Here is a 26,944-nt window from a genome sequence, read left to right on the forward strand (position 1 = left end):
AACCTGTGGAAATAGACTGAAATAGACTATTTGGGCTCCCTGTGTGTTCTGGTATACATCATTAACCTGGCATTTCTCTGAATGCAGAAGAGAAAATGGCCCTCTTTGCAAAACTATGTTTCAGAGTTCTGAATTTGATAGTCTTATTGATTGTAAGTAGAATTTATACAAGTTCTATTTATTATCTCATCTATGCCTAAAATTGAAGGAACCAATTCCAACTGGTAATCAAATACTGGGAATTCATAAAAAACAAATTAGGTAGCTCTACATTACAACTAATATTGAAAGAAGTCCAATACATATTGTTAAATAAAATAAAATTAAGGTGCAGAACAGAGGGTATAGTCTAAAGGCATTGCCACAAAAAAGTATATTTTTAAAAGTATATGTTAACTATAGTATATATTAAAAGTAAGTATATATTAGCTGGGCATGGTGGCTCACGCCTGTAATCCCAGCACTTTGGGATGCTGAGGCAGGCGGATCACGAGGTCAGGAGATCGAGACCATCCTAGCCAACATGGTGAAACCCCGTGTCTACTAAAACTACAAAAATTAGCTGGGCGTGTTGGCACGTGCCTGTAATTCCGGCTACTCAGGAGGCTGAGGCAAGAGAATCGCTTGAACCAAGGAGTCTGAGGTTGCAGTGAGCCGAGATTGCACCACAGCACTCAAACCTGACCACAGAGCAAGACTCCGTCTCAAAAAGAAAAAAAAAAAAAGTTTATATTAAAAAATAAAAGTGTGTGGCCTGGCGTGGTGGCTCACACCTGTAATCCCAGCACTTTGGGAGGCCGAGGTGGGCCGATCATGAGGTCAGCAGATCGAGACCATCCTGGCTAACACGGTGAAACCCTATCTCTACTAAAAAAATACAAAAAATTAGCCGAGCGTGATGGCGGGCGCCTGTAGTCCCAGCTACTCGGGAAGCTGAGACTGGAGAATGGCATGAACCTGAGAGGCAGAGTTTGCAGTGAGCCGAGATCGCGCCACTGCACTCCAGCCTGGGAGACAGCAAGACTCTGCCTCAAAAAATAATAATAATAAAATAATTTTAAAAAGTGTGTTCATGTAAATACACACACACACTTTGCAATGTGTGCACATATTGTGTGTATCTATATATTTCTGTTTCATTTTCGGTTTCTAAATCTGCCAAATTTCCAATCTTGTTTAGTTTCTTGAACATAAACATAGATATTTTAAATTTAGTTTCTGGTATCTACATGATCTATATCCCCTCTACATGTGTGTATATATATATATACACACACTTATATATAAGCAGCATATGTACACATATGTGTGTATGTGTATATGTATGTGTATATATACACATACATACACACATACATTGTCATATAATTTGGGAAAGCTTAAAGCAATTATCTTTTCAAAAAGTGTTTCTCATCCTTCTAGAGTCAGACATTTTCAACACATTTCACTGTTGCTTCTGGCTCTTTTCTGTATTTTTCATTGTTTATAATGTAAATATTTAAATATTTTCTTCTGATCTATCTTCCAGTTCACTAATTCTCTATTCAGCTTTATGTAATCTCCTGTTAAATCTATTTATTTAGTTCTTTATTTCATTTATTGTATTTTTTTACTTCTAAAATTTCTGTTTCTTTTTCAGTTTCTAAATCTGCCAAATTTCCAATCTTGTTTAGTTTCTTCAACATAAACATAGATATTTTAAATTTAGTTTCTGGTATCTATATGATCTATATCCCCTCTAAATTTGTTTCTGTTATCTGTTCCTTTCCCCTGGCTTCTACTCACATGATCATATCTCCTTGTATGCCTCCCTTTTTTTTGAATGCTGAAAATTATTTATAAAAAATTATGGTGCTAATATTAGGCTCTAGAGATTGTAATCTTTGTCCTGAAATAATTACTTGCTTCAGACAGACAGGTATGCTAGAGTCACTAGCAACCACAAATAACCTCAATCCAATCAAGAATTAGGATAATTTAAAGCTGGGTCTTCTCCCTGGAAGTGCTGATTGATTCTAAATTTATTGTCATTCCTAGAATGTAATCATTCTGAATCCTACTCCAAAGCTTCAGAGAGTTACCATGTTTTCTTTTCCAACATGAAAAAGAAACACAAATAGATACATTGGTCCAGAGGAACACAAATTGGAGTGCAATTTGGACTACAATTTGTGTTCCTCTGGCCTATGTATCTACTGAAGCACACTTTCAGAATTGATGGCACCTCTAGGGATTGAAGTGTCTCCAAATGCCAAGTTCAATTCTATGGCATTTTTCTTCTCCAGGGTCTTGGCTGCACAATCTCTCACCATCTTGGTAGCTTTCCAATGCCTTAAGAGAATTTTCAAAATTTTTCCAGCTTCTGTAGTTGTTTGGAGTGGGAGGGTTTGTCCAAGCTACCTAGCTTGCAATTTCCAGAGACAGAAATCCTATATATGTTTTTTAAAATACATATAAATATCTGGGAGGATATATGAGAAAGTATATAAATGTGCTTACCTCTTAGGAGAGAGAGAGAAATTTGGGTAAGGAAACTTTTCACTTTTAGCATACAACCTTTCATATACAGTTAGAATTTCTTTTTCTTATAAGTATGCATTGCTTTTATTTTAAAAATCTAGTTTATAAAATTATTCAATAAAAGTTTAAAAATAAAAATAGTAATCAAATAACAATAACTTTGTGACAATTATTTAATATTCACTACATGGAAGGATTATCAGAAAGCCTACCTAAACTACAGGTTGGAAGATATGTCTGTCTATTAATCTGATTTGCAATCTACATCACATAGCTAAAAAATACACTTCTATAAAGGAAGAGAACACATGGAAAAAAATAAGTCAAAGAAGGCAAAAAGGAATCAGCAATATTTAGCCATTGTATTTGAGATCTTAAAGTTTATTATTTATGTGTCCTGTTATTTGCAATTAATAAACATAATTATCTTCAATTGTTAGACAATATATGTAATAATATATACAGCGGTTTCTAATCACTAAATTAACATTTTTAAACTAGAATATCTGTTTTCAGGGCAAAATATAAAGCATAGAGACTTTCCAAAATTAGTATGTGACTTAAAAGACATGCAAAAGTGCTCCCTATAAATATTAACTTGCTTATGCCACAAGTATGTACTCAACACTATTTGACAGTGCTAATAGACCCAAGCATTCAGTCATTTGGCAAAGCCAACAAAGACTATGGCTTAAATGGGTCTGAATGATTGGAAGAACCATTGTTCTGCAGTTTCCCTCAGTTGTGATATCCGACCCTTGTGCAATAAGTCCCACAGAAGGAAAATATTGACAAAAGAAAAAAATAGCAACATAAATTTTAAACTCAAGCTAATGGCATTTTCATTGTGAGCTACAGGTTACATCCTAATTCAGTGAAACTATAACTTTGCAAATATTCATTGTCTATTGACAAGTTTGAACTAGAAATTGATTTCAAAATGGAAAAACATAGGGGCATGTGGAAGATGTCTAGTTTACAGTGATACATAGAACATTTACAAAAGATATATGAACTACTCATATTTTGCTTCTGTGAACTGAACACTTCATTTATCCTTTTCAGCTCTATGAGTGAACAACTTGTTCCTTAGGAGAAAAAAAAAAGTAAAGCTGAATGTTTTTGAAAAATCTTTCAGATCTCTACTCATATCCAGTTTATTTAAGTTACATAATCCCATCTCAATACCCTGCAGGCCATAATCATCAAGTAAATCACATCACGGGCACCTCCTATAAAAGAGAAAGGAAAGGGATGTAAGGAAATGCACACATGTATGTGTCTATGTGTGTATATCTATGTATACCAAACCAAAGAAGAAAATGTAATAGTCATGATAACACAGTTGATACTCCACAATTTTATAAATCCCCTTCTCCACTTGCTCCATGTTCCTTTATTGTAAGCTATATTCCTTGTTCAGAATCAATGTTAATTGAGATTACCAGGACAGTGCATGATGTCAGAAGTTTGGCAAGCAGGGAAGGCAAGTGCATATCTTAAACAAGTGTTTTTTCCCATGAATATAAGTCCTTCAGACAGAAGGCATCTAATATTATTCACCTTCTGCCAGAGTGTGATGCCCTACTAAGGACCAGCTTTGATATTTGCTATTGATATGTTGTGCATTAATAAAAAGCAGTAGCTTGATCAACTATGGTGATGATAAAATTAGGTTTTAAGCCCCCATTCTTCCCACCATGGCCACGTTGTTCATGAGCACATTAAGCAAGCTTTGAGGTAGCTATTACCTAGGCTGACAAACACCTGCAGAGCAGGTCATTTTGTGCACCAGACTGTTGAGAACCTCTTCTGCAAGATTTTATGTTGATTATTAATTTGGAACACAAATATTTGCCCATTTTAAGAAGACTATCACACTCCTCTTCCCCAAACTTTCTTTTCATCTGTTCCGACTGTGTTATCTTCGAAGTCCCTAGCCATTTGACCAAACCACTGATCATTATCTAAGAATCAGTGGAGCTTCAATACAAAAGCGAAATCTCTTTCCAGGCAAATGGATAAGCAGATACAACTGTCCATGCCCTTTACGTGGAAGATTTTGCTTCCTCAATAAACTTCAGCAGCAGGAAGGGGTGTATAAGGCCACAGTTAGTCTATTTCCAATTAGTGTTGGCAGATCATGCATGACTACTCAACTGGCCTTAGGAAACATCCCATTAGGAATGAGTATAGATTGAAGAAGGCTGTGAAGGAGTAGACGCACTGGGCATTGTGAACCACCTGCTCTTTGAATAAATTTGTGCTTTCAGGGCCTGCTCTAGTCACGTGATGATGGAGTCCTGCCATCAAGCTCAGGTAACGGGGGGGTTCACAATGGCTTTTGCTTCTAAATCAAAAAATCTTTGCATTGGTGGAATCATGCACTCTTCTATATCTTTCAATAACACTGTTTATACAAATATCTAAAAATTATAAGTGGTTGAATTTTGCACAGCTCACATAGCTTTGTCTATCATACAGTCAGAACTTAGTATTCCACTAAAAATCGTAGTTCTTTACCCATTAGTCTATATCTTAGTGTATTAGTCTTATCTGCTTTTATTCAGCTGTAACATTCACTATCCAATATATTATTAGATTTTTAAAACAGTTCTCAGACGTAGGTTGATTTTATTTTCTCATTATTTATCTACACAGTTTATTTTCTATAGGTCATATACTTCACTGTTTATTATAAATTTATTTATTCTTATTCCAGTATTGCATTCTCCTCCTTATCATGTTTTTTGTTGTTGCTGTTCTGTGAGATACTTCTCAGCATATGCCAAGTGTTGGTTTGGTGTTAAATACCCACATTGATTTTGATTCTATTTTTAGCAATTTGGCTACTTAAATAACACTTCTAGATTGTGTAAAGCAACATTTTATCTTTCGCAACATACTTTGTGGATCTGACCTCGGTTCTTACTAACACTAAATCTAGGAGGTAAGGTGGGCAGAGAAGGTTTTTCTTTCTTACTTTCTTCCTTTCTTTCTTTCTTTCTTTCTTTCTCTTTCTTCTTTCTTTCTTTCTTCTTTCTTTCTCTTTATTTTTACATTTTTTATATTAATAGGCTACTTTTAAAAACAGTTTTAGGTTTATAGAAAAATTGAGCAGATAGTATAGAGTTCCCCTATTCCACTCTCCCTTACACAGTCTCCTATTATTAACACGTTGCATTAATGTGGTATGCTTGTTACAAACGATGAACCAATGTAGGTAGGTTATTCTGACCTAAAGTCCGTAATTTACTTTTTTTTTATTTTTTTATTTTTTTTACTATTTCTATTGTTTAAGTTCCATGGCTTTTGACAAATGTATAATGTCATGTATCCACCATACAGAATAATGCTGCCAACCTGAACCTCCCCTGGGCTTCACCTATTCATCCCTCTCCCTCCCCACTAACTCTGGCAGTCACTGATCTTTTTATTGGCTCTATAGTTTTTCCTTTTTCATAAGTCATATAGTTGGAATCATACAGTATGCAGTCTTTCCATAATGTCTTCTTTCACCTGAAATATGCATTTAAGATTTCACCGTGTCTTTTCATGGCTTGGTAGCCAACTGATTTTTATAGCTGAATAATATTCCCTTGTATAGGTGTACCACAGTTTATCTATACATTCATCTACTGAGAGACATTTTGGTTGCTTCCAGTTTGGGGCAACTATTAATAAACCTGCTATAAACATCTGTGTGCAGGTTTTTATGTGGATGTAAGTTTTCAACTCATTTGGGGAAATACCTAAAAGTGTGATTGGTAGATCATGTGGTAAGACAAAGTTAAACTTAGTAAAAAATAAATAAAAATAAAGGGGCCGGGAGCAGTGGCTCACACCTGTAATCCCAGCACTTTGGAAGGCTGAGGCGAGCGGATCATGAGGTCAAGAGACTGAGACCATCCTGGCCAACATGGTGAAACCCTGTCTCTACTAAATATACAAAAATTAGCTGGGCATAGTGGCCCACACCTGTAGTCCCAGCTACTCAGGAGGCTGAGGCAGGAGAATTGCTTGAACCCGAGAGATGGAGGTTGCAGTGAGCCGAGATCGTGCCACTGCACTCCAGCCTACTGACAGAGCTAGACTCTGTTTCACAAAAATAAATAAAATAAAATAAAATAAAATAAAATAAAATAAAACAAAATAAAATAAAATAAAATAATTTTAAAAACTGGCAAACTGTCTTCCAAAAGGTTGAACAAGTAATGAATGAGAGTTTCTGTTGTTCCATAGCCTCAACAGCCTTTGTTGTTGTCAATGCTTTGGATTTTAGCCATTCTAATAGGTATGTATAGTGGTATCTCATTCTTGTCTTAACTTGCATTTCCCTGATGATATGATCTTCAGCATCTTTTTTATGTTTAGTTGCCATATCCTCTTTTGTAAGGTGCCTGTTCAAATCTTATGCCAATTTCTTAATTGACTTTTTTATTTTCTTATTGATGAGTTTTAATAGTTCTTTGTGCATTTTGAATACAAGTTCTTTTTTTTTTTTTTTTTTTTTTTGAGACAGTCTTACTCTGTCACGCAGGCTGGAGTGCAGTGGCACAATCTTGGCTCACTGCAACCTCTGCCTCCCAGGTTCAAGCAATTCTCCTGCCTCAGCCTCCCAAGTAGCTGGGACTACAGAAACCCGCCACTGCACTGGCTAATTTTTTTTTTTTTTTTTTTTTTTTTGGTATAGACAGGGTTTCACTGTGTTGGCCAGGCTGGTCTCGAAATCCGGACTTCATGATCCTCCCGCCTCGGCCTCCCAAAGTGCTGAGATTACAGGTGTGAGCCACCACGCCTGCGTGAATACAAGTTCTTTATCAGATATGTGTTGCCAATATTTTCCCTCAATTTGTGACTGGTCTTTCCATTCTCTGAAATGTGCTTGATTTTTTTTTTTTTTTTTTAGATGAAGTTTTGCTCTTGTTGCCCAGGCTGAAGTGCAGTGGCACAATCTCGGCTCACTGCAACCTTCGCCTCCCAGGTTCAAGTGATTCTACTGCCTCAGCCTCCTGAGTAGCTGGGATTACAGGTGAACACCCAGCTAATTTTTTGTATTTTTAGTAGAGGCAAGGTTTCATCATATTGTCCAGTCTGGTCTCAAACTCCTGACCTCAGGTGATCCACCCTCCTTGGCTTCCCAAAGTGCTAGGATTACAGGCACGAGCCACTGCGCCTGGCCATGTCCATTTAATTTTGTTTCTGTCACTTGCAAATGAAAGAATTCTGGCTAATAGATCTTTGTAGACTTTCATTAATATATAAAATATATTTTAAAATTGTATCGGAACTTGACCATTGAAGATCATCTGTCAATCCAAGGATATGTATGTTGCTGTCATTAATTAGTGAGTCCTGTAGATAAGACCCACAAGGGATTAGCCTGAGTAAGCTATCCCTAACCTTCTGAACCTTTCATTCAGGCAGATTTAGCAATAAAAAAAAAGAAAAAAAAAACTTTATAGGAAATATATACTTTACAATACCTGAAGAAGCATCTCCATTTTCTTTTCACAGTTCTGTTTCATTTTGGCAACTTGTGACGAAGAACCTCTAAGCCTAAAAATTATAAAGAAAAAAATGGGATAATGAAAATAATTAATGATATAAATATTAATATTACTTATAGAATATTTTTAAACTCCAACAAATTAACGGCTCTCAATTTTCCATTTGCTTTTATGTTTATCAAAATGCAAAGGGACAAAGTTGTTGATATGCCATGTTGTATAATTGATTTATGTATAGAAGTAATTCATGATAGTCAAAATTAAAATATTATGCCTTGATATAGCAGTGCTCATTAGAGTAAAATCACGCTAGGTTATAGAAACGTCTTTTCAATTTACAGTGTAAGGTTATTCCAACAACATAAAAATAGAATTTAATTGAATTTGGGTAGAATTATTTCCAACATATGTATGAGATGAATTCAAGATTGGGAGCAGGGGGTGTAAAACAAATGTTTCTTCAAAGATGTTTTCCTTCCAGTCTAAATGGTAGCAACATTAAACCTGCCCTCTGCAAATTGTGCCATCTGGTCCTCACCAGAAGAGTCCGTGACTATGTGGCTTCCATCGGTCCAAGGCAGGGCTGGCCTTCTCCCCTTCACGCTGATTTTCTGGTTTGAGGACCCGTGCTCTGAGGCGTATAAACTGCTTTACTTCCCCTATTAAGACGTTGACATGAATCCAAAGCGGTATCCTTGCAGTAGTGAAGAAAGGCTTCAAAATTGAAATGAACCACCCTTGCAGTTTAATGCTCTTGTCATGTAGGGTTTCTTCCTTTCCTTCCTTTCTTCTGTCCTTTTTTCCTTTCTTAATTTTTTTTTTAAATAAAGACTACAAACAGCAGGGGATATACAGACCTTGCAATCGCTAGAAAATGAAATGTTTCCACAGCATTGAGATGCATTTAGTGCTAAGACGAAAATTTAGTTCCTTCTATTCTTTTGTAAGGAGAAAGTCTTCTTTGAAACAAAAATGAAATAGAAATAATTTCAGGGTGATGGGACATCCCCAGCCTTCAGGTCATGCTGCTCTCTCATCATTTTTTAGGTTGCTTGGTGATAAAAGAAAAGGAAAAAAAGAGAAAATTCCCTAATCAGAGTTTCATCAACTGAGTGATCAACAAGAGAAAATGGCCACTTTTATATTCATTAAAGTAACTTTTCAAAGAGGAGAGATTTCAGAATTAGTGACACTGAGTGCATATTGCTAAATTTATTGTTGACCGTTACTTGGAAATTTTTGTTTGATCTTTCTTTGCTTTCTTCTGTGGTGTAGCTTCATTATATATATATGGTTGCATCTTTCTTTTAAGTTCACTCTGACAATTTAGTTTCCTTATGTTTCGTTGTTCTGGGAATCACATTCAAAAGAAATTAAGGCTTTTTTTAATTCAAAAAAAGCAATAAATCTTTCAACAAATAACATAAATTTTTAATTAAAAAATAAAAACAGCTACATGCATTATATGTATATAAAACATTTCTTTATTTGATCTTTCTCCAATGATAACAGTATTATAAGATTGTTACAAACAATTAAAATAGTGTAATATAAAAAGGTAGAGGTGCAGAAATAATTTTGTGTATACTCCCCACTTCACCCCCCATCTACCACCATCTCACCCCGCTGAGTTAACCGATGTTGGCCATCTTTGATATATCCTTTTATGCTGCTATGTTTACATATTCTTTATACCATACATAGAGATTTGAAGGTAATACTTTAAGTGAAAAATAATCATATCATATGGGTTTTTTGCAAATTGTGTTATTTATTTTGAAAATATGTCATAGAAGATTTGTATGATGAATTTTTTTAACTTTTTATTACAGAAAATTTCAAATATATACAAAAGTAGGAAGACTTGTAAAATTAACCCCCATGTACCCATCAACCAGCTTAAACAATGATCAACTAAAAGACAATATCTTTTGCATCTTACCCTCCCTACTCAATTATTGTGACACAAATTTAGATATCATGCCACATCAATCATAAATATTTAAGGTGCACCTATTAATAGAAATGATGAATATTTTAGTACAACCATAATACTTTTTAACAATCTAAAAATTAATAGCCAGCCAGTATTCAAACGTCCAGTTTTCTCATAAATGAAGTCTTATGGTGCTACAGAATGTCTCACAATATGGATTTTTTTGGTCAGGAATAACTCACAGGTGGATTTGTATATATCTCCAGAATGCACATGTCTGCTAGTCTCTTTTTTTGTGATATTAGCAGCCATTGATAATCATTGCCTACTTCTATTAATTTATTAGTGGTTGCAAAATTGTAATAGTCTAATGATACAACTTTTTCTTGATTCATTGCCTGGAATATTTCTATAAAAAGAAAAGGCCTTTAATCAACAAGTTTCTTACTCTGAGGAGGAGTTCATATAGGAAAGAGAGAACAAATGCTTAAATATTTCCCTTTGCTTACCTCTTTTCAAAATAATGAATAAGATTTCTTATACCCTCCAAAAATATCCAATGATTTCTAAGTATAAATATAAATTTATGGATGTAAACATATTTGGTATGTCTCAATCCAGTGTGTTTATTACCTTTTATGTTGTTTAAATGGTCATATCTTTTGCCACAGACTTTTGAGCCCATTTTTATACCCTCTGGATGGCTATTTTACCTTCTTAAAACAAGTTATGCCAGCTTTAGCATTTGACAAAATGCAACATCCTTACATGATTAAGAAAAAAAAACTGAACAAATTAGGTATAAAAAGAATGCACTTCAAGATAATGAAGAACATATATGCTGAACCCATAGCTAATATTACACTCAATGGTGAAAAGCAGAAAGTTTTTTCTCTAAGAATAGGAACAAGACAAAGATTCCCACACTCACTGCTTCTATTGAATATAGTATTGGAAGTCCTAGCCAGAGCAATTAGGCAAAGAAAGAAGAAAGAGAGAGCATAACAATTAGAAAGAAGTAAAATTTTCTCTGCTTGCAGTTGATATGGTCTTATATCTAGAAAATCCTAAAGATTTCACCAAAAAAAAAACCTAAAACTGTCAAAACTAATAAACAAATTTAATAAAGTTGTAGGATGAGCTTTATTTGTATTGATCAACAAAATCAATACACAAATCAGTTACATTTCTATACACCAACAACAAACTATCTGAAAAAATAAATGAAGAAAACAAACAGAAAACCAAACGCCACATGTTCTCACTCATAAGTGGGAGCTGAACAATGAGAAGACAAGGACACAGGGAGGGGAACATCACACACCGGGGCCTGTCAGGTGGTGGGGGGCAAGGGGAGAGAGAGCATTAGGACAAATACCTAATGCATGCAGGGCTTAAAACCTAGATGATGGGTTGATAGGTGCAGCAAACCACCATGGCACATGTATATCCATGTAACAAACCTGTACGTTTAGCACATGTATCCCAGAACTTAAAAAAAAAAAAATGTTGATAGGGGTGAAACTCAGAGAAAAAAAGGAAGGGGAGAATCATGGGACCCATCCCAGCAGGGTGGGAATCATTAGATTATTATTAGGAAATGGAATGAGGTAAATGGAAATTTATTATGTAAAATAAAGGCCTTAATACAGTATCAAAGGTTGAGTGGACCAAAGAGAGCCCCTGCTGCTTCCCCAGTATTAGAGAGACCCAAGCCAATTTTCTATATTTACCCCAGATTGGAGAAATTTTTTTTAAAAAAATCAGAAAGCAAAGTTACAATAAGGAAAAAAAAAAAGGACAGGCCAGGCACGGTGGCTCACGCCAGTAATCCCAGAACTTTGGGAGGCCGAGGCGGGCGGATCATGTGGTCAGGAGTTAGAGACCAGCCTGGCCAACATAGTGAAACACCGTCTCTACTAAAAAAACAAAAATTAGCCGGGCATGGTGGTGCACGCCTATAGTCCCAGCTACTTGGGAGGCTGAGGCAGGAGAATCGCTTGAACCTGGGAGGCAAATGTTGTGGTGAGCAGAGATTGCACCACTGCACTCCAACCTGAAAAACAGAGTGAGACTTCAGCAAAAAGAAAGAAAAGAAAAGAAAATAAAAGAAAAGAAAAGAAAAGAAAAGAAAAGAAAAGAAAGAAAAGGAAAGGAAAGGAAAAGAAAAGAAAAAGGATAAAATACTTAGTAATAAATTAATCAAGGAAGTGAGGAGTCTGTTCACTGAAAACCACAAAATATCAAGAAAAGAAATTTTAAAAGACCCAGAAAAATGAAAAGATATGCCATGTTCATGAATTGAAAGAATCAGTATTGTTAAAATAGACATACTCCCTAAAGCGATCTACACATTCAATGCAATCTCTATCAGAATTCCAATGTTATTTTTTGGAGAAACAGAGAAAAAACTCCTAAAATTCATGTGGAACCACAAAAGACCCCAAATAGCCAAAGCAGTCTTGAACAAAATGAACAAAGCTGAAGACGTTATACTTAATGATTTCAAATTATAGTAGAAAGCTATAGTAATAAAAACACCATGGTACTGGCATAAAAACAGACACATAGACCAATGGTACAGAATTGAGAGCCTGAAAATAAACCCACACATATACAGTCAACTAATGTTTGACAAGGGTGCCCAGAATACAAAATGAAGAAAAGACAACCTCTTCAATAAATAGTATTGGGAAAACTAGATATCCACATGCAAAATAAAACCCGGCCATTGTGTTATGCCATACACAAAAAATCAACTCAAAATGGATTAAAGGCTTCAGTGTAAGGTGTGACAAAAATAAAACTTCTAGAAGAAGACAGGGGAAAAGTTCTTTGATTCATCTTAGCAATGGATTTTTAGATAAGACACTGAAAGCACAAGCTACAAATGCAGGAATAAACAAGTGGGATTATATCAAACCAGACAGCTCCTGAATAGCAAAGGAAACAACCAACAGAATGAAAAGACTCCAGCCTGGGCAACATGGCAAAACCCTGTCTCTACTAAAAATACACAAAATTAGCCAGGCGTGGTGCATGCCTGTAGTCAGGTGCATGCCTGTAGTCTCAGCTACTGGGGAGGCTGAGGTGGGATAATCACCTGAGTCTAGTGTGTTAGTCCATTTTCACACTGCTATAAAGTAATACCAAAGACTGGGTAATTTTTATAAAGTAAAGAGATTTAATTGACTCACAGTTCCATATGCTAGGAGGCCTCAGAAAACTTACAATCATGGCAGAAGGTGAAGGGAAATCAAGCACCTTCTTCACAAGGCAACAGGAGAGAGAGAAAGAGTGCATGAAAGGGGAAGACCCCCACACTTATCAAACAAACAGCTATCATGAGAATTCACTCACTATCATGCGTACAGCATAGGAGAAACCATCCCCATGATCTGATCACCTCCCACCAGTTTCCTCCCTTGACATGTTGGGATTATGGGGATTACAATTTGAGATGAGATTTGGGTAGGGACACAGAGCCAAACCTTATCATCTGGGAAGTCAAGAGTGCGGTGAGCTGTGATCACTCCACTCTACTCCAGCCTAGACAACAGGAGTGAGACCCTGTCTTTTAAAAAAAGAAAAAGAAAAAGAAAATACAACAGGATGGAAGAAAATATTTGCAAACTATACATCTGATAAGGGGTTCATATTCAAAATATATAAAGACCTCAAACAATTTCACTGTAAGAAAACAGACAACCTGATTAAAAAATGGGCAAAGGACCTAAAAAGACATTTCTCAAAAGGAGACATGTGAATGAGCAACAGATATATGAACAGGTACTCAGTATCACTAACCATCAGGAAAATGCAAACCAAACCATAAGGATATACCATCTCACACCTATTAGGATGACTAATATTAACAAAACAAAAGATAATAAGCTTTAATGAGGATATGAGAGAAAGGAAACCCTGATACACTGCTAGTGGGAATGTAAATTGGTACAGCCTTTAGGAAACAAAAACAGTAAGGAGGTTTCTCAAAATATTAAAAATAGAACTACCATATGATCCATCAACCCCACTTCTGGGTATTTATCCAGAGGAACTTAAATCAGGATCTTGAAGAGATACCTGCATGCCCGTGTGTTTTGCAGCATGGACAGGATATGCAAACAACCTAAATTTCCACTGGTGGACAAATGGATAAAGAAAATGTGGTATACACATAAAATGGAATATTATTCAGCCTTTAAAAAGAAGGAAATTGTCCAGGTGCAGTGGCTCACACCCGTAATCCTAGCACTTTGGGAGGCCGAGGTGGGTGGATCACCTGAGGTCAGGAGTTCAAGACCAGCCTGGCCAACATGGCGAAACCCTGTTTCTACTAAAAAATCCAAAAAAAAAAAAAAAAAATTAGCTAGGCATAGTGGTGCATGCCTGTAATCCCAGCTACTCGGGAGGCTGAGGCAGGATAATCGCTTGAACCTGGAAGGTGGAGGTTGCAGTGAGCCAAGATCACACCATTGCACTCCAGCCTGGACAGCAAGAGGGAAAGTCTATCTCAAGATAAAAGAAAAAAAAAGAGAGAGAGAGAGAAGGAAATCTTGCCATTTGCAACAGCATGGATGGACCTGGAGGACATTATGCTAACTGAAATAAGACAGGCACAGAAAGACAGATACTAAATGTGTGATCTCATTTATATGTGGAGTCCAAAATAGTCAAATTCATAGAAGCAGAGAGTAGAATGGTGGTTACCAGGGACTGAGATGAGGGAAAACTGGGGAGGTGATGGTCAAAGGGCACAAATTTTTATTTATGCAAGGTAAGTTCTTGCATATTGCTTATAGCTAACAATACTTAATTGTACACTTAAAATTTGCTGAGAGTATACCTTATGTTAAGTGTTCTCAACAAAGAAGAAAGCAATAACAATAATAACAAAGGTGGCAAGAGGAAACTTTGGGAGGCAATTAATATATTTATGGCTGAATGGGCACGGTGGCTCACGCCTGCGATCCTAGCACTTTGGGAGGCCGAGGAGAGTGGGTCACCTCAAGTCAGGTGCTCGAGACCAGCCTGGACAATGTGGTGAAACCCCATCTCTACTAAAAATATGAAAATTAGCTGGGCATGGTGGCGGGCGTCTGTAATCCCAGCTACTCAGGAGGCTGAGGCAGGAGAATCGCTTGAGCCCAGGAGGTGGAGGTTGCAGTGAGCTGAATCATACCACCTCACTCCAGCCTGGGCAAAACAGCAAAACTCCATCTCAAAAAACAAAAACAATATGTTAATAGCCTTGATGGTGATGATGGTTTCATGGGTGTATACTTATCCTCAAACTCATCGAGTTGTATACATTAAATGTGTACAGTTTTTCACATAATAAGCATTAAGTAAATGTAAACTAGTATTATTAATTTCAATGTGCTCTTTACACATTCCTACTATTGTGCTTTTTCTTTCAACATTAGAATTCTTAACTTTGCAAGTTTATATTTTTATTATATCCACCTCAATCCTTTCTCAGTCAAACTTAAATCTACATATATTTGTGCAAAGACTTTTGTCATAGAATTGTATTAAGTGCCTTATGAAATATACAATAATTATATCATGAAAAAGATGGTGGGTTGAACACCTGTATCTACTTTGATCCCTCCTGAAACTTCACTAAAATAAGAATAAAAAGATTTTCTTTAATGAACAAACCAACAAAACTGTAAAGAACAGGAAAGGAAGCAAGAAAAACAAGATTTCAGAAGCTGGAAAGCAGACAGACGAGTGAGTAGCAAATCAAAGGATTTATCAGAGAGAGATGTAATTTACACCAGAAAATACCCAGAGCTTCTGTCACCCCACCTTTCCATATGAAAAGGCAAGGAGGATCATCAGACATCTGAGGAAAAGCCGCTAACCTGACAGATAAAGACAAAACCAAACAAACAAGAGAACAACTCCATGGAAGCAGACACAATGTAGGGGAAGAAACGTTATTAAAAAGCAAAAACTATCAATGATATCCTCCAATAAATTAGAGAAAACATTGTAGCCATGTAAGGAGAATGGAATGCTCTTTAAAAAGTGATTCTGAAAACAAAAAGCATAGGTCTCAAGCTCTTGGAAATTGAAATTCTGTTTGCAGAAATTACATGTATTCTATAGAAGAGAAGGAAGATAGGCCTCACAGAAAGTAAAGCAAAAATGAAGGACATGGAAAATAAGAGTAAAAATATAAGAAAAAGAGAGAGGACTAGTCCAAGAGGCCCTAAAAGGGAGAGCCAACAAACAGGGAGAAGGATATCATCCACAAACATACTCAAGGGAATTTCAGAAAATTGAAGCATATGACTTCAAAGTACAGAATCCACTAAATGCCCCTCACAGTGGATAAAATAGATGCTACGAGAAAAAAGAAAATCCTCAGATTTCTGCTGATCACTGAGAGATAAGAGCTTTTTGAGAGAAAAACAGATCACATGAAATGAACCATAAACCTGAATGGCTTCAGGCTTCCTAACAGCTACACTTAAAGCAGGATTACAGTGAAGCAATTCCTTTAAACTTCTGAAGGGAACATGTTTCATACCTAGAATTCCACCCCCAGTCCAACTACAGATCAAGTCAGAAGGCCAGGATAGACATTTCCAGACAAATAACATCTCTGAAATTTTACCTTGCTTTCAACCTATCTATGAAAACTACTGGAGGATACATGCCACAAAAATTAAGGAGTAACACAGGAAAAATGAAGAATAAAATACAGAAAACAGGAGATGGCACATGAAGAGACGAGGGAGGAATAATGAAAAAGAGAGACCAAGGATGGCAGCTGTGATCTGGCACACAAGCCAAGCAGGCCAGATGGGCCCAGCCCCAAGGGCTGTGATAGATATTTTTTCAAGAAGATGCAAACGGGAGAAGATCTGATCCATCAGAAGGTCTTCAGACTGTGATTCATGCCTCTTGCTGTCCCTTGTGTCACTGACTCCTCTAGATGTTCACATTATTAATTTCCCCATACCATGAAATTTAGACTGGCCTTGAAGTTGAATTACTGATAAAAACAGAAAGAAGGCAATTATTTTCTTCAGAGAAAACAAAACATACAGATTGGGAAAAGGAAGACTTACTTAATACAATGGCTCAGCTTTGAATAGCATATACAATTGTCATGTTATGGTAATATAAACACTGAATTCTGATGTAATCAAAACTATAGGACAATGTTGCAAGGATGAAGACATGGAAAGAGTGCACGGTTATGGTGACAATAGGAGGAAATAGAATTCAGTCTCTCACATCTGCAGAGGCAGATGGAATACCTCAGCTCAAAGTCAGAAACAGCAAGAAAATCATGGAATTTAGAGATATGGAGGTAAATTCTAAAATCAGCTAAAGTAAATGAAAGTGTTTCCTGCCAAGAAGGGAAATCAGGGTGGGGCAGGGCAGAGAGGACTGGTATATTTCATAACATAACTTGTAGAACTATCTAGCTCTTTGAACTATATGTACATGTAATTGCAGTAAAAGTAAAGGAAAATTGAAATCACTTTTATGAAAATAGGATAACTAAACTGCATTTTACAATTCTCTTTCCCAAATGAGATAAAAGGTATTTCTTCAAAACTTATTTCCATAATTTATTTCTTTGTCAACTTCTTTTATCATTGATGGAGCCTATCCTGTCTTCATTAAAGCAAAATTAGCATTAGTACAGTTCATTCATTTATTTATTCAATCAATAAATAGATATCAAGGCATCCTTGCCTTAAAGGAGCTCACCATACCTCAGGGGGAACATTAAATTACAAATCCCCCAGCTGCCCGAGGAAAAGAATATCAAATGTGTCATTAGAGGACAGGACAGGGATAGATTTGCCTGAAAGTATCTCAGAAAGTTCCACAAAGGGATTTTAAAGACCTGAAAGAGGAGACTAGGTAGATTTTTATTTTACTTTGTACATTCTCAAGGTAATTCAGTGAAATGAATGTTAAAGAGTATATCTTTGTGCATGTCACTCTACTAAAGGCTATAGGAAACATGAAGATGAATGAAGATAAGGTCTTTACTGCTGGCCCAAAATATAAGAGAGTAAAATAAGCACTAACGTAAAAGTTCAGAGAGCTTCAGGGGAGTGGACACAGACAGTTGTTCCAGAGAAGGGATCTGGAGCTTTGGGAAAGTGCAGTTTGAGAGGTGGGACGTGATTAAGTGTCTATCTGTTCATTGACTTCCAGAAGCAGAATACTTGATTTATCTGTTCACTCATAATTCTTTCCTTCATTCAACTGCCATATATTAAGTGCCTACTCTGTACCAGATACTGGACTGGGTCTGAGTATACAAGGTGTACTTGAGCACAGGCAAAGGAAGACATCACAGAGCAAGTCCAAAGAAAGGAGACAAGCTGGCTGGGCTGGTGTACAGGAGGGAGTGGAAGGGAGGACAGGAAGGGAGGAGAGGAGAGAGGTGGCAAGGAAAGATGACTCATAAAAATCAAAGAAGGCAGGGATGACTACCCTTCATGTTTAATTTTTCCCAACTTCCTCTAACTCCTAAATTATTGCCTGCTTTTAGGAAATTTTAAAGCCCTTGGAAAAAAATTCGTAAAATAAACCTATGTAGAAGTTAGTTGGCTCCTCTGGGTTCCTTGGGTGGAATATAACCTGACAGCCTGAATGGTGCTGTCCCTTGGGGCCCTTCCCAGGTCCCAAGCCTGTGGACCCTTATGTGATATCCCACCACTACCCTGCCCATCCCTTCACTCTCTAAGAGCAGAAATGGAGCAGCTCAGTGTTTTGGCGGTTCATTTGTGTTGTAGCGTGTGTCGGTACTTCATTCTTTTAGTTTCTTTTTAAGCTGCTTTGTTGAAATATTAACTCATGTACCATATGATTCAACCATTTAAAGTGAAAAGCTTTTAAGTATACTCACAAAGTTGTACAACCATGACCACAATCAATTGTAGAACACTTTCATTGCCCCAAAAAGAAACCTCATACCCATTGGCAGTAGTAGTGTATTCTTTTTGTGGCCGAGTGCTATTCCCTTGCACAGATAGATCATATTTGGTCTATCCATCCATTTATTGATGAACATCTGGGTTGCTTCAACCTTTTGGCTATTGTGAATAGTGCTTCTATGGACATTTGTTTGCAAGTTTCCCTGGAGACAGGAAACAGATTGGCAGTTGCCAGGGACTTGAGAAATGGGCAGGGGGAGTGACTGACTTACTAAGTTCAGGGCTTCCTTTTGAGGTGATGACAAATTTTCTGAAATATAACTTTGGGATTGCACAGCATCGTGAACCTACTTAATGCCACTGAATTGTGTACTTTAAAATAGTTAAAATAGTAAATGTCATGTTTTGTGTATTTGCCATAATAATGCTCCCTTTTTCTTCTGTCAGAAGTCTCATTTCCTTTGCTCCCACTATCTCTCGCTTGCCCGGGCAGCTTCCTCTTCTCTGCCTTTAGTAAGGTCTTTAGTAAAGGCTGTACTCTCAGCAGCACTTGTGTGTCACTTAAAACTGTAGGGAGAAAGTGCCCAAAACAACTTGTTCTAACAGGAGAGTTTAACTGGGTGACATATTCTGCAGAAAATCCCCGTGGACAATTCAGCCATTCCCATCTCCATGTCTGAACTTCTTTCTTCATTTTGACTGCTGAAATCTTTCACAGCTTCTATTAAAATTGCCTCTTAAATATAAATAGCTGCAATCTCATTCCAATTCATTCCATGATTTCAGGCTCCTAACATGCGCGCGCGCGCACACACACACACACACACACACACATATACACACACACACATATACGGCGCTTAGAGCCCCGCCTGCTCTCCTTTCTCTTACTTGGAGAAGAGAATATTATCTACAGGGCTCTGTGTGCTACAAGGCCCACATATCTCTTCCTTGGGATGAACAAAGAGGCAGAGGCCCGATTGGCAAGATTCCTAAGGATGAGAGATTTCTCACATGTAGCCAGCAGAGGTTGAAGGAAGAGGTCCAAGTTACCTTGGTAATCAGGAGCTGACAGTGCCTCAGAGCTGGCACTGGGCTTGGGACTCCTCCCACCCCACCTCTATCTCCAGTTTTCTTGAGAAGAGTGACAGTAAAGGTAATCTGTTATCTCCCTATTTCTCAGTGTTTGCCTTTATCTGCTGACTGGGCAAGACTTCTTTAGTTTCTGAAGAAGTTTTGTGGTTGTTTTTCTTAGCCACAGCAGGCAAGGACTGTGCCTAATAATTAGAACAAGCTAGTGATAAGAATTGCAGAAGGGTCTTTAGGAACTTAACATTAATGAGTAGATAGATGATTCTTAACTGTCTGCTACACTCATATAGGCAAAATCATGTGAACTTTATTTTAATATCTATGGTAGGATTCCAAACAAAAATAAATTCTGGCCAGGCACGGTGGCTCAAGCCTGTAAGCTCAACACTTTGGGAGGCCAAGGTGGGAGGATTCCGTAAGTCCAGGAGTTTAAGACCAGCCTGGGCAACATAGAGAGACCCCATCTCTATGAAAAAAAATTTAAAAATTAGCCAGATGTGGTGGCACACGGCTGTAGTCCTAGCTACTCAGAAGGCTGAGGTGGGAGGATCACTCGAGCTTGGGAGGTCAAGGCTGCAGTGAGCCACGATTGTGCCACTGCACTCTAGCTTGGGTAACAAAGCAAAACCTTGTCTCAAAAAAAAATTGGCCGGGCAAGGTGGCTCACACCTGTAATCCCATCACTTTGGGAGGCCAAGGCAGGTGGATCAGGAGGTCAGGAGATCGAGATCATCCTGGCTAACACAGTGAAACCCCATCTCTATTAAAAATACAAAAAATTAGCTGGGCGTGGTGGCAGGTGCCTGTAGTCCCAGCTACTCGGGAGGCTGAGGCAGGAGAATGGCATGAACCCGGGTGGCGGAGCTTGCAGTGAGCCGAGATCGTGCCACTGCACTACAGCCTGGGCAACAGAGCGAGACTCCATCTCAAAAAAAAAAAAAATCTAAAACAGAAATCTGAGGTGCTAGCATTTGATGTTTGTGTGTCTGCAAGAGAGAGAAAAGGTGACTATTGCTTATAAATTTACAGATTACTTGGGTTGTTTTTATTAGTAGAAAATTTTATCTTTAGAAATAGACAATAAAGTATTTTGACATTTTAAATTTAGTGAGGGCCGGGAGCAGTGTTCATGCCTGTAATCCCGGCACTTTGGGAGGCCAAGGAGAGAGGATCACTTGAGGTCAGGAGTTTGAGACCAGCCTGGTCAACATGGTGAAACTCCATCTCTGTTAAAAATACAAAAATTAGCCAGACGTGGCGGCGCGTGCCTGTAATCCCAGCTACTCAGGAGGCTGAGGTGAGAGGATAGCTTGAGCCTGAGAGACGGAGGTTGCAGTGAGCCGAGATTATGCAACTGCAATCCAGCCTGGGTGGCAGAGCAAGATAACTAACTAACTAAATAAATACATACATACATACATACATACATTTAGTGAGGAGCAAATGTAAGCACTCAGAATCCTCAAAGCTGATTTATTTTTATTTATCTCTAGGGAAAACCTAAGAACACATGACATGAATTTGACTATTCACCTTAAGTTTTACAGTGAAAGTTTCGATTTGCCTCCTATCCTATTACAAAATTCAGATACTCTCTTTGTTTTGTCTTTATTTCCTAAGAAATGATTTCTTTTGTTCTTAATGGAAGATTCCAAAGATATATCTCCTGACTCAATGTTGGCTTACAGACCCTTTTAGACAAGCTTGTTTTGTATCACAGGAAGTTCTTCAGATTCTCAACTAGAAGCCAAATGAGTCACCATTTTGTCTTCTGCATCTTTCAAATAGAATTTGTTTTTGAAATAATAGCTTTATTGAGATATAATCCACATATTGTATAATTCATCTTTTTAAAATGTACAATTTAAAGGTATTTAGTATATTCACACAGTTGTGCAATTGTCATCACAATCAATTCTGGAATTTTGGAATATTTCATCACCTTCAAAAGAAACCTCATACCCATTAAGAGTAACTCCCCACCTCCCCCTCCCCCAGTTGCTGGCAACCACTAATCTCGTTTCTGTCTCCATGGATTTGTCTATTCTAGATAGTTTTCATAAATAGAATCACAATATTTGTTCTTTTGTGTCTGTCTTCTTTCACTTTTCACAATATTTTCAAGGTTCATCCATGTTGTAGCATATATCATCACTTCATTCCCTTCTATGGCCAGTGAATATGGCATTCCCTTCTATGGCCAGTGAATGGATATACCACATTTTATTTATCCATACATTAGTTGATGGACATTTGGGTCATTTCCATCATTTAGTTATTATGCAAAGTGCTACTATGAACATATGTGTATGAGTTCTTGTGTGGATGTATGTTTTCAGTTCTCTTGTGTTCACATAAACATTTTAACTTAATACAGACTAGACTTGAGCCTGAATGACTTGGGTGGGTGTGTCCATGCCTGGAAAGGAAGAGGAGAGGGAATCAAAGAAGAGCGATATCAGTAAGGAGACAGAACTTACTTCACTAATTTCCCAATTTGCAAATCCCTCTAAAATAACACCACCTGATATCATAACATTATAGAACCACAATTTTACATATGAACAACTGAGAACCCAGAAAAGGTAAATAACTTGTTCAACAATTTGTTGAAAACCAACTGGGCCAAGGGCCAATGGTTCCTATTTCTTAGTAAACTTCCTTTTGCACCACCTGCATTGCATTAGTACACACTGATATCCAGGTGGTGTCTAATTAGAAAAATTTAAGTTGCCAAGGATCCTATTTAAAAAAAAAAAGTTGAGAATTGGCTAGGATTTTCTTCAATTCACCAGGAACAGAAATATCTCTGTTAATCAAAGCTAACTCTTATGGAGGTCTTAGTATGCACTATGTACTAAGCAGTGTTTTGCTTAAGCTGCCATATTTAATTTTGAAAAGCACCCCATTTTACAAATGAAGGAACCAGATTTAAAAAAAAAAAAAAAGAAGTCACGCAGCTTTAATACATGATGAAGTAGCAAGTTGAAGCCAGAAGCATCAGACTCTATGAGATTTGGTTATGAAGTATTTTGCTGTGCTGACAGATACAGATAAACATACTCTGTCCTCTGTCTCCTTTCTTTTGTCCTCCCACTGCCACTGTTGTTTTCATAGGTTATGAGGGTTTTGTTTTTGTTTTTTCTTGAGAAGGAGTCTCACTCTGTCGCCCAGGCTGGAGTGCAGTGGCACAATCTCGGCTCACTGCAACCTCCGCTTCCTGGGTTCAAGTGATTCTCGTGCCTCAGCCTCCTGAGTAGCTGGGATTACAGATGCCCACCACTATGCCCAGCTAATTTTTTGTGTTTTTAGTAGAGATGGGATTTCACCATGTTGGCCAGGCTGGTCTCAAACTCCTGACCTCATGATTCACCCACCTTGGCCTCCCAAAGTGCTGGGATTATAGGCATGAGCCACCACGCCTAGCCCACAGGTTATGAGTTTTTTTTTTTTTTTTTTTTTTGAGACGGAGTCTCGCTCTGTCGCCCAGGCTGGAGTGCAGTGGCGGGATCTCGGCTCACTGCAAGCTCCGCCTCCCGGGTTCACGCCATTCTCCTGCCTCAGCCTCCCAAGTAGCTGGGACTACAGGCGCCCGCCACTACGCCCGGCTAATTTTTTGTATTTTTAGTAGAGACGGGGTTTCACCGTTTTAGCCGGGATGGTCTCGATCTCCTGACCTCGTGATCCGCCCGCCTCGGCCTCCCAAAGTGCTGGGATTACAGGCGTGAGCCACCGCGCCCGGCCAGGTTATGAGTTTTAAACAACCTACAAATCGGACATTTGTAAACTGGGAATGTTTATGAATTTATAATTGTGCTAAGCAAAAATATGAAATCATTCCATGTATAAATAAAATCACATATATCCTCCAAAATTGTCGACAAAAATGATATGTTCTTCATCTCAGGCCAGGATGACAAATGCTTTTTGAACTTAAATGCAAACTCCAGTCAATTGTTAGTGGCTCCTAGGGTACTGTGTTGAAAATGATTCTAAAGCCTGAATGTTTTTAAAAATTATCACATCAAGGCCACACATTGCCCCACTGTCTGGTCCCACTGACCCACAAGCCACCACCCCACAGATTGGCTCGGCTCTGGCCTGAGTCATATCTGGTTCCCCCAGCCTTGCTGCTATAAAGAAAGGGCTTCAACAGCTCTGGCTGAAGGCTGGGCTCAACTTCATCAAAGTATCCCAGGGATCTTCAAACTTGAAACAATTCTGTCTGCAGAATGTTCCACATGACTTCCTGCTGACTGGGGTATCTTCGAGTACAAAACTCTCCAGACTCCAGAACGTCTGTTCCCTTTTGTGGTCAAATGGACCTTTCAAAGGTTTCCCAAACCACTTCTCATGAACCAGTGAATATTCAAAAGAGAGCTAGAAATTTGAAGCCTGTACAAAAACTTATCCCTATAACATATGTGCCATAATATACAAACTTACACCTTTTCAGTCCTTCACATCTACCTCTCTGAATTTTCATGAATTTCTATTTCACAAGGGTAATTATTTTAGGTACACTGGCAGCAGCATACAAGCAAATATGTAGTATGAAAACAATTCTCACAATAAAGTGAGGGCAGCAGAATTTGGTTATGTGTATGTTCTTTTTTAATGACTTTTTTTTCGTAGATATGACCACTTGCTTTTTCACTTTAAAAAATAAGATTCTGAGACCAGGCGTGGTGTAGCTCACCCCTGTAATCCCAGCATTTTGGGAGACCGAGGTGGGGGTATCACTTGAGCTCGGGAGTTCGAGACCAGCCTGGGCAATGTAGCAAAACCCCATCTCTACTAAAACAAATAAAAATAAATAACTTTTTTTTGAAAGTTGAGTGTGGTGGTGCATGCCTATAGTCCCTGTAGTCCTGACTACTTGGGAGACTAAGGCAGGAGAATCCCTTGAGCCTGAGAGATTGGAGCTGCAGTGAGCTATGATCGTGCCACTGCACAATAATATTAAAAAATAAGATCCTGGGCTGGGCATAGCAACCTTTAACACCTGGAGTAGTAGCCACTCTGGAGGCTGAGGCAGGGAGATTGCTTGAGCCCAGCCTGGGCAACATAGTGAGACAGCATCTCTAAAAAAAAACAAATAATAATAATAAGATTTTATTGATGCCTCATTTGGGTCATATTATAGTTAAATAAGGAGAGGCAACAGAAAATCAAGGGTTGGAAATGCCCTCACTTTACTGTGAGAATTGTTATATTAGATAAGAATTACTTAAATAGTTGAGTAACTTCAATCTTGATAAGAGTGACTAATGTAGAGGAAAATTTTTTGGGCATAGCTTGGTAACCAAAGGAGTTCATGAGCTAGTATAGTAATTATATTTTCCAAATTCAAATTGGAACATACGACCTCATAATAATTTTTAAAATGTATAAATTTATTGGTAGAAAGGTACTTGGCAAAGATATTAAAATTAAATAGCATTCAAGGATGTTTTAAATAAATCACCTTTATAGATAAAATATAGAACTACAGTATATTTGCTGATAATTCTGGAAAATACAGTGTTGTTGATTTAAATAACAATAAAAAAGAATTTGGAGTTGCTGGTCTCTGATTTCTCCAAAGAAAAGCTTTTATAGCTTTCCAGACCCAACATCCTTCCTGAAATTCACTCACCTCCTTCTGCTTCTGTCTGAAATCCATATAGGAGAGGAAACACACATTTCTCTCCAGATTGAGGTAATGTTCTTAAGAGCAGACTGTCAGTCAGGTTCTGAGAGTTCAATTTCTAGAGGTACAAGGAAGCCACTTCCTATATTACCTGTAATTTTAGGGTCATTCACATGGAGATTCTGGGCTCTCACCCTTTTGCTTGCCTGAAATCTACCCTTCTAATCATTTGCTTACCCTCCAGGGGCTGCTTAGTTTCAGCTTGAGTATTCTCTGGTGAGTAGGCAATCTGCTATTTTCATGAGGGGTCTGGAAATTCTTCACTGGAGTATGAATTCCTCCAAATTCCAGGTTCATTGTCCTTGCTTACGACCTTTAGCCCCAGTTGAAGACATTTCCCGCAGTTTTCTGCATTTAGCTTCAGGACCCTCTGCCAAGCCCAGTGCTACAAAGTCTTTTTGACTTGGGCATCCCTAGTCAGCTCTATCCCTGGATTAGTGTTTTTCTCTTTTTCCTACAATAAACATAGAAATGGGAGCCAGTATATTAGCTCAGTGAAATCTCAAGGTAAACCTACTACGCTTCCTTTATTGCCCATCAATAATCCTTTCATTTTGTCATGTTTTCTTGCCTTTTCATACCCTGATAGTTATCTGTACTTAAAGGTTAAATCGAGCTTTTCCACTCCTCATTTTTTCCCCTTCTATTCTTTGATCCTACATTGAAATCATAATGCTGGACTTGTGACGTCACTCTCAATTGTTTCCAGATGGCTTATCAGACTGATCAAAAAGAAGGTGAAGCCAATATGTTAGTTAAAAAGTAGATCTTCAAACAGGGAGATGGTTCAGAAAAAAAAAATTGTGTAATAATAATGTTGAGAACACAAAACAACTATAGGTAAAGTAAATTGCCTTTTCTCTCTGTCCTAAAATAAAATCTTTGATCAATTGTTCCAGTGTATGAAAATTTGAACTCTAAAGAGACCAGGCAGCTTTCTAAACCCAAACATCAAAAGCTTTGCTTCCATTAGAAAAATTTAAACCCATGATACTTTGAATGGATTTGAAATTCTCTAAAATGAGCTCTAATAATAACCTTCCCAAACAGAAAGAAAAAGAACAGTAGGTTATATGGCTTCGTGCTACCATTTTCTCTGGAACATTAGTTTTCCAAAGATGCCATTTTGGCTCGTACCAAATAAAAGGGCAAAGGTTACCAAATGCAAGCCTAGGGAAGCCAGGAGACAGAACAGCTATTACAATGGAGGGGGAAATCCAAGCTGTCAGCTCTGAATGGATAGAAATTGCATGTGTGAAATTGACAACCAGCA

General features: G+C 37.7%; 1 long non-coding RNA gene across 1 annotated transcript; it reads right to left on the reverse strand.

Annotated features, from left to right (window-relative positions):
* Positions 1-2,900: 2,900 nt before the first annotated feature.
* Positions 2,901-26,275, reverse strand: LINC01603 (long intergenic non-protein coding RNA 1603). Its single transcript, NR_110433.1, has 4 exons — positions 25,849-26,275; positions 25,618-25,729; positions 8,007-8,079; positions 2,901-3,752 (listed from the first exon to the last, which is right to left on the reverse strand). It is a non-coding gene; the product is annotated as a long intergenic non-protein coding RNA 1603 (long non-coding RNA).
* Positions 26,276-26,944: the final 669 nt, after the last annotated feature.

The sequence above is a fragment of the Homo sapiens genome, chromosome 8 (genome assembly GCF_000001405.40).
Source record: "Homo sapiens chromosome 8, GRCh38.p14 Primary Assembly".
Lineage (NCBI taxonomy): Eukaryota > Metazoa > Chordata > Mammalia > Primates > Hominidae > Homo > Homo sapiens.